The 13,517-nt window shown below is 44.5% G+C and overlaps 1 protein-coding gene across 4 annotated transcripts in view, besides 1 other annotated feature; it reads right to left on the bottom strand.

The window, feature by feature from the left end:
• The window catches only part of KIF1B (kinesin family member 1B), a 171,034-nt gene that overhangs the window by 157,190 nt on the left and 327 nt on the right, over positions 1–13,517 (bottom strand). Inside the window, exon 1 of one of the 4 annotated variants that reach the window (NM_001365952.1) lies at positions 12,676–12,798. The exons of the other annotated variants lie outside the window; for them this stretch is intronic. The gene's annotated coding sequence lies outside the window, so the exon portion shown is untranslated. Of the gene's footprint in view, positions 1–12,675; positions 12,799–13,517 lie in introns of those variants that run through there. 4 annotated transcript variants of the gene reach the window in all.
• Positions 12,056–12,711: an enhancer, noted in NCBI's record as "H3K27ac hESC enhancer chr1:10271761-10272416 (GRCh37/hg19 assembly coordinates)". NCBI's record gives its function as "activates a minimal SCP1, AML or CMV promoter by ChIP-STARR-seq in primed H9 embryonic stem cells {active_cell/tissue: H9 hESC(primed)}" and the evidence as "EXISTENCE:reporter gene assay evidence [ECO:0000049][PMID:30033119]".

Below are 13,517 nucleotides of genomic sequence, written 5' to 3'. Positions count from 1 at the left end.
CTGGGCACGGCAGCTCACGCTTGTAATCCCAGCACTTTGGGAGGCTGAGGCGGGCGGATCACAAGGTCAGGAAATCGAGACCATCCTGGCTAACATGGTGAAACCCCATCTCTACTAAAAATACAAAAAATTAGCCAGGCGTGGTGACACGCACCTGTAAACCCAGCTACTCGGGAGGCTGAGGCAGGAGAACCGCTTAAACCCGGGAGGCGGAGGTTGCAGTGAGCTGGGATATCGCACTACTGCACTCCAGCCTGGGCAACAGAGCGAGACTCCATCTCAAACAAACAAACAAAAACCACGGTCAGGGCTGTACACTCTGACTCACACCTGCTGTAATTCTGGCACTTTCAGAGGCCAAGGCAGGCAGATGGCTTGAGCTCAGGAGTTCAAGACCAGCCTAGGCAACATGTGAAACCCTATTTCTGCAAAAAAACACAAAAATTAGCCGGGCATTGTTGTGTGCTAATAACATCTATCCTTTTTAGAAGTTTATATTTAATTACTTTCTCAAAACAACCTAAACCTAAATATTTTTTCTGATTTTACTGTCTCATGGTAAAAACTTCAGGCCGGGCACAGTGGCTCACGCCTGTAATCCCAGCACTTTGGGAGGCCGAGGCGGGCGGATCATGAGGTCAAGACATCAAGACCATCCTGGCCAACGTGGTGAAATCCCGTTTCTACTAGAAATACAAAAATTAGCTGGTGTGGTGGCACGTGCCTGTAGTCCTAGCTACTCGGGAAGCTGAGGCAGGATAATTGCTTAAACCCGGGAGGCAGAGGTTGCAGTGAGCCAAGATCGCACCACTGCACTCCAGCCTGTTGACAGAGTAAGACTCCGTCTAAAAAAAAAAAAAAAAAAAACAAAACAAAACAAAAAAAAAAACCACCTTGCAACCATCTTCAAAATTTAGTGAAAATGTTATCCAGTCATTCAAAGCTACAGTTAAGTGGACTACAGAAAGTTATTCTGTCACTTCTCTACTACTATAAACAGTATCCATTATAATAGACATCCATCAAAGACTTAGTTTCAAAACTCCCTGCTCCTTTAAAGAATTACTTATGTAAGTCTGAAATCAAGTTTAAAATCCAGCAAGAAACAATAATTTTACAGAGGTGCTTTTTGTTTTGTTGTTTTGTTTTGTTTTGTTTTTGAGACAGAGTCTTGCTCTGTCACCCAGGCTAGATGAAGTGCAATAGCCATCTCGGTTTACTGCAACCTCTGCCTCCCAGGTTCAAGCGATTCTCCTGCCTCAGCCTCCCGAGTAGCTGGGACTACAGGTGCGTGCCACCACACCTGGCTAATTTTTGTATTTTTAGTAGAGACAGAGTTTCACTATGTTGGCCAGGCTGGTCTTGAACTCCTGACCTCGTGACCCGCCTGCCTCGGCCTCCCAAAGTGCTGGGATTACAGGCGTGAGCCACCACACCCAGCCTACAGAGTTATTTTTAAGAAGTTATAGGAAAACAACATTTCTTAATAATTAGCAAAAAAATACATCTTCCAAGTTTTGAAAGCCAGAGCAGAAAGGTAGAAAAGGTAACCATACATACTCTAAATCACTTACACAGCCTGAGTTCTAAACTGTTCTTCTGACCACTTTTCCTTGCGACATACAATTAGAAGCGTTAGGAAAGTGGAATGGAGCAAAAATTCCAGAAGCATTCACTAACATTAAAGAGACAATAAAACATTTAGGTCTAATTCATTTGAATTTTTCTCAATTTTTGCCCAATTGCTTAATTTTGATCTTGTAGAATTCCCACTTGCCCTCAAAGGCACTTCGGATTATAAGGAATCTAAGGAGAAGACTCAAATTGATCTTTCAGTAAAGTGATAAACAAGAATGAAATAATACTAGTTTTTTGGTTGGTTTGTGTTTGTAGCATTCCTTTTCCATAGAAAACAGCCAGGATTATATTCCTAAAAAAATGATCAGTTCATGCCATTGCCTCTCCTTAAAAACCTTCAGTTGGTTGCCACAGCCTCAGAGCATAACCTAAAAGTTCAAGGGCCTCCACAATCCAACCTACCTCCCCTGTCTCAGCTTTCCTTGCCCAACTCTAAGCCTTCTTCTCCACTAGCCACCACCTTCCTACACTATACACATGGATTCCTAGGAGCCCAATCTCCCTTCTCAACCTATTACAAGTTCACATCTTTCAAGGACAAGGTCAAATGAGACCATGGAGCAGGATGCGTTAATTCATTTCTTAATATCCGTCTGCTTTTCTGAGTAAAAGGGCATACCTTTTTTTTCCTTTGCTCCATAAAATTATTCGACTGATTCCTCACTTTCCCATTTATTTCATTCTGCCCCTATGTTGCAGTCAGTAGTTCCCTTACCTCTCATATACTAATACTTTATTCAGTACATTTGTTAGAATTAAACAGAAATGCAGTCTTTTAAATTCCATACTAGAATTAGCCAGGCATGGTGGCACATGCCTGTAGTCCCAGCTACTTAGGAGGCTGAGGCATGAGAATCGCTTGAACCTGGGAGGCACAGGTTGCAGTGAGCCAAGATTGCACCACTGCACTCCAACCTGGGCGACAGAGCAAGACACTGTCTAAATTAATTAATTAATTCAATATTAGCACAGTTTGTTATACAAAAACAAATTTGAAACAAGTAGCTATTTAAAATATAACATTTTCCTCTGAATTACATTTTAAAGTGTGAATTATAATTTAAAGAATGAATATGTATCCAAAAATAAATTTTTATAGCTAGAGATCCCCTTTTGAGATGCTATGAAAAAGTCCTCCTTATATCACATTTTGCATCTCTCAGTCCAATACTTTCCATGAAGACCAAGCAGGTTTTCGGACCTAACACTGTGCTGCTGACAATGGATATACTGATAAAATGGCCCCCCAAAATTTAAGAATTGGTGTGTGTGTGGGTCTGTATGTAGTCACTATTTATTCTTGATTTTTGACTCTGAATAAAAGTTAACCATGGGCCACGCTGTGGAAGTTCAAAATGAATCATATATTAGAAAAGGAGGCCGGGCGCAATAGCTCATGCCTGTAATCCCAGCCCTTTGGGAGGCCGAAGCGGACAGATCATTTGAGGTCAGGAGTTCGAGACCAGCCTGGCCAACATGGTGAAATGCCATCTCTGCTAAAAATACAAAAATTAGCTGGGTGTGGTGGCACATGCCTGTAATCCCAGCTACTCAGAAGGCTGAGGCAGGAGAATTGCTTGAACCTCGGAGGTGGAGGTTGCAGTGAGCCAAGATCGCACCATTACACTCCAGCCTCAGTGACAGAGCGAGACTCCATGTCAAAAAAAAAAAAAAAAAAAAAGCTTCTTTCTGTATTCTAACCCAATCCAAGAATCAGACTATACACGAGTAGTCTCCTGACATATCAGATTTTTAATCTCCAATATGGCTAAACAGGCTCAGTCATGCTCCCCAAATGTTTTAACTACTATCTGGCTAGGCACAGTGGCACATGCCTGTAATCCCAGCACTCTGGGAGGCCAAGGTGGGTGGATCACTTGAGGTCAGGAGTTCAAGACCAGCCTGGCCAGCATGGTGAAACTCCGTCTCTATTAAAAGCACAAAAATCAGCTGGGCTTGGCGGCAGGCACCTGTAATCCCAGCTACTCAGGAAGCTGAGGCAGGAGAATAGCTTGAACCTGGGAGGCGGAGGTTGCAGTGAGCCAAGATGATACCATTGCGCTACAGCCTGGGCGACATGAGCAAAACTCTGTCTCAAAAAAGAAAAGAAACAAAGAAAAGGGGTCTCACTTTTTCACCGCCCAGGTTGGAGTGAGTGGTGTGATTGAAGCTCATGGCAGCCTCAAAACTCCTTGGCTGTACCTCAGCCTCAGGAGTAGCTGGGTACTATAGGCATGCATCACTGCCCTGTTTATTTTTTATTTTATTTTGTAAAGGTATTTGAAGAACATTTCTTCCTTTTACTTAAAGAAGCTGTTGAAAACATTTAGTACATATCTATCTATCTATCTATCTATCTATCTATCTATCTATCTATCATCTATCTATCTATCTATCTATCTATTGAAACAGGGTCTCACTCTGTTGCCCAGGCTGGAGTACAGTGGAACAATCACAGTTCACTGCAGCCTCAATCTCCCAGGCTCAAGCAATCCTCCTCCCTCAGCCTCTGGAGTTATTGGGACTACAGGCACATGCCACCACACCTACCTAATTTTTTTTTTTTTTTTTGAGACGGAGTTTCGCTTTTGTTGCCCAGGCTGGAGTGCAATGGCTCGCGATCTCGGCTCACCGTAACCTCCACCTCCCGGGTTCAAGTGATTCTCCTACTTCAGCCTCCCGAGTAGCTGGGATTACAGGCATGTGCCACCACACCCAACTAATTTTGTATTTTTAGTAGAGACGGAGTTTCTCCATGTTGGTCAGGCTGGTCTCGAACTCTTGACCTCAGGTGATCCGCCTGCCTCAGCCTCCCAAAGTGCTGGGATTACAAGCATGAACCACCGCGCCCATCCACTAAATTTATCTTTAATAGAGATGAGATCCTGCTTCACTGCCCAGGCTGATACCGAACTATTGGGCGCAAGCAATCCTCTCACCTAGGCCTCCCAAAGTGCTGGGATTACAGGTGTGAGCCACTGTCCCCAGCCCTAGTAAGTCTTTATTTTTTATTTTTTTGAGGTGAGTTTCACTCTTGTTGCCCAGGCTGGAGTGCAATGGCACGATCTCAGCTTACAACAACCTCTGCCTCCTGAGTTCAAGTGATTCTCCTGCCTCAGCCTCCCGAGTAGCTGGGATTACAGGCATGCACCACCACACTCAGCTGATTTTTTTGTATTTTTAGTAGAGATGGGGTTCTCCATGTTGGTCAGGCTAGTCTCAAACTCCCGACCTCAGGTGATCCGCCTGCCTCGGCCTCCCGAAGTGCTGGGATTACAGGCGTGAGCCATAAGGCCTGGCCTATTTTTTACTTTTAAGATGGAGTTTTGCTCTTGTTGCCCAAGCTGGAGTGCAATGGCATGATCTCGGCTCACTGCAACCTCCGCCTCCCAGGTTCAAGTGATTCTCTTGCCTCAGTCTCCCAAGTAGCTGGGATTACAGGCATGCACCACCATGCCCGGCTAAATTTGTATTTTTAGTAGAGATGGGGTTTCTCCATGTTGGTTAGGCTGGTCTCAAACTCCCAACCTCAGTGATGCACCAGCCTCGGCCTCCCAAAGTGCTGGGATTACAGGCATGAGCCACCGCGCCCGGCCGTACGTATCTTTATATCAGGATGTTTATAACAATTTTCTCTTAGAACATCTTTAGAATTTAATACTAGGAAAAAAGGTTTCTCTCGACAAACTATTAGGCTTTCTTTTACCAGAGTGAAAATTGTACAATTTATCTTTCCCTTTTTGCATTAAATTCCATGTTTCCAAATTAAATTACAATAACCACATTAGCCGAGGCAACCTATACATTTAGTTTTTCTTGTTACATAAATTTTTACTTATTTATATTTTAATAGCTTCACTGTATATATTTGTGGTAAGCTGCTCAAATCCTTTCTAGAAGTAGTAACTGGTATAAATTATAAATAAATAAAAACTTCCTGTAATAGCCTATTCTGCTATTTAACACTGTAAATATGTTGTGTAGTCAAAGTTCTAGTTCCTAAAAACAAATAAAACCAAACGACACAGCAAGCTTTTAAAAGTTACATAAAGATCGGCTGGGCATCGTGGCTCACGCGTATAATCCCAACACTTTGGGAGGCCAAGGCGGGTGGATCACTTGAGGTCAGGAGTTCAAGACCAGCCTGGCCAACATGATGAAACGCTGTCTCTACTAAAAATACAAAAATTAGCTGGGTGTGATGGCACATGACTGTAATCCCAGCTACTCGGGAGGCTGAGGCAGGAGAATCACTTGAACCCGGGAGATGAAGGTTGCAGTGAGCCAAGGTCACACCACTGCACTCTAGCCTGGATGACAGAGCGAGACTCTGTCTCAAAAAAAAAAAAAGTTGCACAAAGATTTATGTTGAATGAATTTAATAGCCATGTGAGTAGCCAGAAAAACAGCAGTTTCAGAAGACTGAAACCAGCCCACAAACAGAAGTAGCCAAAAGTTCAAGGAAGAAAAAAACAAAATGAGTAACATACTTAGTACTGCAAAAGTGTGAAGTGTGCCTCCTGGTTTCAGCAATAAAGGCTGGAAACCACAGCAAGGGCAGTATCCATGAAGTGGGGGGCAGGAGGGGACACTGAAGCCAGCCTGTAGTGGGTTGGCACGGAAGTGGGAAATGCCAGTATCCATGACACTGTCAGAGCCTGGCTATGATGAGCAGGAGAGAGCAAATAGGAATGAAGGATTTTATTGGAAGGAACAGAAACGAAGGAGGGATTTTCCTCCCCCCAGCCCTTTATTTGTAATAGGAAAGACTTGCACATTTCTATACTTTATTCAATAGCTATTTACTGGGTGCCTACAATGCAACAGGCAGTTCCTGGGAAAAATAATCCGTGAACAAAAAAGATAAACAAACCTCCTTGTCATGGAGGAATTTACATTCTAGTAGGGAGAGGGAGGACATTAAAATTAATAAATCAGGTATAGAGAATCGAGAATGTAATCAGCATCACGGGGGAGTACAGCAAAGTCAGGGGGTTCAAGATTGTGGTGGTGGGAAGGATTGCTGTGCAGGTGCATAAATGAGGTCAGGGTGGGCCTGCTGATGTGCTGAGATTTAAGCAAAGACTTGAAAGAGGTAAAGGAGTTAGCCAAGCAGATTTCAGGGGAAAAGTATTCCAGGCAGAAGAAAGAGTAAGAGCAGCTGGGTGCGGTGGCTCACGCCTGTAACCTCAGCACTCTGGGAGGCTGAGGCAGGTGGATCACCTGAGGCCAGAAGTTCAAGACCAGCCTGGCCAACATGGTGAAACACCGTCTCTACTAAAAATACAAAATTAGCTGGGCTTGGTGGTGGGTGCCTATAATCCCAGCTGCTCAGGTGGCCGAGGCAGGAGAATTGCTTGAACCCAGGAGATTGTGCCTCTGCACCCCAGCCTGGGAGACACAGCAAGGCTGTCTCAAAAAAAAAAAAAAAAGAAAAAGAAAGAGTAAGAGCAAGTGCCCTATGGTAGGACTATGCCTGGTGTGTTCAAGAACAGTAGAAAAGGCTGGGCACAATGGGTCACGCCCGTAATCCCAACATTTTGGAAGGCAGAGGCGGGCGGATCACCTGAGGTCAGGAGTTTGAGACCAGCCTGGCCAACACGGTGAAACCCCATCTCTACTAAAAATACAAAAATTAGCTGGGCGTGGTGGCACACGTTTGTAATCCCAGCTACTTGGGAGGCTGAGGCAGGAGAATCACTTGAATCCGGGAGGCAGAGGTTGTAGTGAGCCAAGATCAGGCCACTGCACTCCAGTCTTGGTGACAGAACAAGACTCTGTCTCAAAAAAAAAAAAAAAAAAAAAAAAAAAAAAAAAAGAAAATGGGCAAGTACTGCAGGGAAAAGAAGAGTAACCAATACTGCGAGTTCCTACAGATTAGAACAGTGCTATCCCTAACAGAGGCCAAGACAGAGTAACCTCTTTCTCACACTGGGGGAAAGAACAGAAGAAAGAGGGCAGAGAAGTTTGTAAGTAGAGGAAGGGAAAGCTCAGGGAGTTCATGCCCTTTTTTCCTATGAGGTGGCAGGCAAGGTATTCTGCCAAGCATGGGGCAGTGACAGGTTTGAGTCAAGGGGTCCAGATTTTATAATAGCAACTGTGGAGAAATGGGGAGGGAGCTAAGCAGAACTGCTCCGACAGGGACCAAAGACAGATTTAAGGGAGACCTCGGACTACACATTAATTGTGGCACTAATCCCCAGCACTATGCAGGTTTCTCCATGACACGGAGTAAGAATGGAGGGTATGGATGGTAGGGATGATGTGAGGCTGGCTTCTGCATAGTAAGTCCTGAAGAATAATAAGAAAGAATAAAAACTGCAAGCAATGCAACCCAGAGGTCGTAGTATAGAAAAGGAAGGAAAAGAAGTAAAATCTGGAAGAGGCCGACGGTTTAGGAGACTTAGAGTGGGAGAACACACATAAAGTGATTATGAAAGTGAAAGCTATCAATTATCACAGTTTAAGACTTGAAGGTGAATTTGAGACCTTAACATGATGACAAGTTAAAAATGTGGCCATAACACTAAACAACTGGAACAGAATGAAGCCAATGTTTGCTTGAGCTCAATTCAAGAAATTTCACAGTTAACGGTAGTTACAAAGGAAACTCAGCATAGTGGTTACTTACTAGTACTTATGATTTTGGGGAAGTCACTTGGCCTGTTTTAGTTTCATCTGTAAAATGGGAATAACAGTATTTATTTCATATGGCTGCTATTAGGGTTAAATTAGTTAATAAACGTAAAGTGCTTAGAAAAAAGCCTGGCACACAGAAAGTGCTCAATATGAATAAGCTATTTTATCACTATTGTTGTTTCTGTTATTGTTTATTTACATAGTCATTGACATCTGCCAAGATGATGTCAAAAATCTGGATGAAAGAGAGAACTAAGCCAACAATATAGTAATCCAAAAGAGCAATGGGGCTGGGCACAGGGGCTCATGCCTTTAATCCTCCCACTTTGGAAGACTGAGGTGGATCACTTGAGCTCAGGAGTTCAAGACCAGGCTGGGCAATAGGCAATATAGTGAGACCTCCATCTCTACAAAAATTTAAAAATTAGCTGGGCATGGTAGCGCATGCCTGTGATCCCAGCTACTCAGGAGACTGAGATAGGAGGACCACTTGAGCCCAGGAGGTCAAGGCTGCAGTGAGCCATGACTGCGCCACTGCACTCCAGCCTGGGCAATAGAGTAAGAGCCTGTCTCAAGGGGAAAAAAACGGGCAATGGTAGAGGGTAGTATGGTTGAATGATATGCTTTGGTATAAACAATGTGATATTAAATACAAAAAATAGGCCGGGCACAGTGGCTCATGCCTGTAATCCCAGCACTTTGGGAGGCCAAGGTGGGTGGATCACCTGAGGTCGGGAGTTCGAGACCAGCCTGACCAACATGGAGAAACCCCTACTTTACTAAAAATACAAAATTAGCTGGGCGTGGTGGCACAGGCCTGTAATCCCAGCTACTAGGGAGGCTGAGGCAGGAGAACCGCTTGAACCTGGGAGGTGGAGGTTACGGTGAGCCGAGATCGCGCCGTTGCACTCCAGCCTGGGCAACAAGAGTGAAACTCCGTCTCAAAAAAAAAAAAAAAAAAAAATATATATATATATATATATATATATATATATATAAAATATATAAATTTTTAAATCCATCAAACATTTACAAGCTTGTGACTTCAAACACTATACAAAAAACCACAAGACAAATGTAAAAGTACCAATTGAGTATTAGATAATAAGTACAGTATTATGTACATACAACATTACAAAGAATTTTGAAAATGCTCTGACTGGAAATCACGGAAACCATATCAGGATACTAAATTGTACTAAAATGAAAAGGAGTTGGAGTTAACTTTATCTCACCATTTCTATATAGAAATGGTAGCCCAGGTGCAGTAGCTCATGCCTGTAATCCCAACACTTTGGGAGGCTGAGGTGGGTGGATCACAAGGTCAGGAGTTCGAGATCAGCCTGGCCAATACGGTGAAACCCCGTCTCTACTAAAAATACAAAAATTAGCTGGGCATGGTGGTGTGCACCTGTAGTCCCAGCTGCTCGGGAGGCTGAGGCAGGAGAATCACTTGAACCCAGGAGGTGGAGGTTGCAGTGAGCCAAGATCACACCACTACACTCCAGCCTGAGTGACAGAGTAAGACTCCATCCCAAAAAAAAAAAAGGGCAGGGCACGGTGGCTCATGCCTGTAATCCCAGCACTTTGGGAGGCCAAGGCAGGCGGATCAGAAGGTCAGGAGTTCGAGACCTGCCTGGCCAACATGGTGAAACCCCATCTCTACTAAAAATACAAAAATTAGCTGGGCATGGTGGCAGGTGCCTGTAATCCCAGCTACTTGGGAGGCTGAGGCAGGAGAATCATTTGAACCCGGGAGGCGGAGGTTGCAGTGAGCTGAGATCACACCAATGCACTCCAGCCTGGGTGACAGGGCGAGACTCTGTCTTAAAAAAAAAAAAGAAAGAAAGAAAGAAAGAAGTGGTAAAGTGTGAGTTCCTGGAAGGTAAAGAACTAAATCTCTACATGCACCCTCAGTTAATGGGTAATGCCTATAGTAAAAGAGCATCAATGAATCAGTGGCCCGTTAACCAAACAGTTCAACTCTGAGAAGTCCAAGGCATCTTTTTATTTTTAGCAGGCAAAGTCTGAGCCCAGAGTGGAGTGCAATGGCGCTGTCTTAGCTCACTGTAATCTCAAACTCAAGCCATCCTCCCCACTCAGCCTCCGAAGCACTAGGACTACAAACACACACCACCCACATCCAGATTTTTTTTTTTTTGGTAGAGATGGGGGTCCTGCTATGTTGTCCAAGCTTGTCTCAAACTCTTGATGTGAAGCAATCCTCCCGCCTCAGCCTCCCAAAGCACTGGGATTACAGATGTGAGCCACTGCATCCGGCCCAAGGCACCTTTTGCAGGTTTTTCCTACCACAGTCACATCTGTTTAATTTCTCTTCTATCCTGACAAGCTGCACAAAAAAAGTTCAAGAAGTATGCATATTTATTCACACTGTTTCACAGAATCCAGATATTCACCAGTACCTGTTCAAACGAGGCCATCTTTCAAAGAGAAATACATGAAATAGACATAAAATAACTTCAGAGCATTATGAAATTATATCATGTTAGTTTACAAGACCAAAAGGATATGCTTCCTCCTGGAAAAGATCTACTATGATTAGCAGCCTGGGAAGGGGATTACAAACAGGAAGGCAGGGGGCCCATTGTCCTTTACTTTGTACCCAGGACAAGACCACAGTGAGAAAATGGGCTAAAAAGCTTTGGCCTTAAGAAAGACTCCGTTGGCAGACTTTCTTGGACACTTATTCCCTGCACGAAATCAAAATGGGAAAGAAGAAAGAGAGAAAAAAGGAAAAGTGCATTCATATCTGGTCTTGAAAAGGAAAAACAGTCTGTTCTAAGCCTTAAAAGCTATACTTAATTGGATAAATTTTGGAAAAACACTCATCAGAGCAGAGCTACACATACTCATAAAACCTAGCCTCTGTATCAGATTCACAATCAGGTCTGATTTTACCAAATGCTGAAATTATTTTTAATCAAAAATATTCAGATCTTTATACTAATAAAGTAACTCTAAAAATTAAAAACTTAGAAATACTTCTAACTTAGGGCATGGAATTTCAAAACAGACATTCTGTATTTCTCTCATACTAGTGTAATGCAAAAAACACTAGTTTCTGTTGAAGTTACATTTGATTCAACAAGTTTTAAAACTAAAGCTTGATGACAAAAATAACAAAAAAATAGTGTTAAGACCTTGCTTAGCAAAAGCTATCCAAATTTTTTAAATGTGTGTGTGTATATATATATATATATATATATATATATATATATATATATACACACACGCATGCACACACACACATATATATATACACATTTTTTTTTTTAGCCAGGGTCTTGCTGTTGCCCAGGCTAGCCTCAAGCAATCCTCCCACCTCAGTCTCCCAAATAGCTGGGAATACAGGCATGAGCCACCATGCCCAGGTATTTATTTATTCATTTATTTTTGTAGAGACAGAGTCCCACTCTGTTGCCCAGGGTGGTCTCGAACTCCTGAGCTCAAGGGATCCTCCTGTCTCAGCCTCCCAAAGTGTTGGGATTACAAGGCATGAGCCACCACACCCATCCCAAAATTTTTTACATAGTTCAACCTGAGAAGTTATGAGAATGTATTTATGAACAAATTGAACTTGAATGAAAGCAAAGGCCACAAAGAAGAAAGCAGGCATGCCATCTCTCCAGGTCCTGTCCACATCTAGGATATAGAAAAGAACAGATCTACAGACTCATGCTGAACCCAGTTATTGATCATCTCCAGACCTGCTTTACAATACCAACCTATGTGTAATTCTCATATTCCACCTTCAAACAATACATTAACAACACTTGCTCTATAATCCAGCAACCATATCAACTTAATCAGAAAGCACCACCTCACTTCTTAGAGGAACACAAGAACTAGATTTTGTTATGACTAAACTAAGGAGACAAAATGCCAGCCTTTAAATAAAATATCCACCATGATATCACCTCTTAAGAGTTATTCAAATCTCATCAGCACACTTTCATCAGGCTCAGACAGGCACATCATGACACAAAGCGGAATGTTCAATGGTGGCAGAACAGCTGCTCAGAGCAGTAAGAGATATGAGCAAGGGATCTGTTGACAATCTAATTTCAGCTACCTCGAGATTCCACAAAGATGACAGCCTGCGTCCTCAGAAATGCCGCCACTAGCCTCGCCCACTATCAGAATACTCTGGTTTACTTCTTCTCTGCAAGTCGAGCGACTCTGAAAATCTATCCATCCAATGCTCTACGGCTACTCGAGGCCTCCATACTGATACAGTGGCCTTAGCAATTCTCAGATCGGCCTATGCACATGTAAAGCATCAGCAGGCCTTTCACAGCCCCCGCACTGGACGCAGAAGATGAATAGAGAAACACGGAATTTCACCCCAACAAGAATGGAATCTTGAAGGCAGTTTACCTTGGAAGCTCATTTAGCAATCAAGGAAAAAAAAAAAAAGGGATCTGGAAGCTCCATTCTGGCGTTAGGGGCGGGAATGTTTTGTGTTGCATGAACAATGACTAGCTTGCTCAAGCAGCCTCCCAACCCCCACAACTTGGCTTCTGGTCTGGCCAGTCACCCTGAAAGCTGCCAGGGCTGTCACTCGGTGCCTTCCAACAACTGGACTTGGCTCCTAAAGGATTTGTCAGATCATCCTCCCAATATGGCTGCCCGAGTAATCCCAGTCGGCTGAATGCCGAGACCACACCAGCCTTCCTCACACCTGGCCAGCATCCAACAAGCCCCCTCCCTTCCTATCGCACCCCTCTTTCCAGGCCTCGAGCCCTCGGCTCCCCCAGCGCCAAGCGATGACCTTTCCTATCGCCATCTGGCAAAGGGCATAACCACATTCCCAGCCGAAGCCCGATGCCCACCACAAAGGAGGAAAGGGGAGAGGGAAAATGAGAAACGATGGCTTCAAACGAAGCACAGCCGCCCCCCGGGCTGCAACGTGCGCGGAGCCCAGGGAACGGCCAGGCAGCGGCGGGTCTGGAGAGCGCTGGGCACAGCCGGGGCCTGGCAGCGCGGGGGAAACGGAGGGCCGGTGCAGGGCACTGCGGGGGCCCCAGCCGACCGCTGGACGCCGGCCCGGGACTCGCTGCTGGCCTAGGGAGGGGTCCCCTCCCCCGAGGGCGAGGCTCCCGCACCCGGCGCCCGTCCCGCGCTACCTCCCCTCAGACCCCGCCCGGACCCCGGCCCGGCCGCTCCTCCCCGCGGAAGCGGCCCCCTCCCCAACCCCGCGACCGCGGCGCCAACCGCGG

This window comes from Homo sapiens, chromosome 1 (genome assembly GCF_000001405.40).
Source record: "Homo sapiens chromosome 1, GRCh38.p14 Primary Assembly".
NCBI lineage: Eukaryota > Metazoa > Chordata > Mammalia > Primates > Hominidae > Homo > Homo sapiens.
This window is presented reverse-complemented; position numbering and strand designations above follow the sequence as displayed.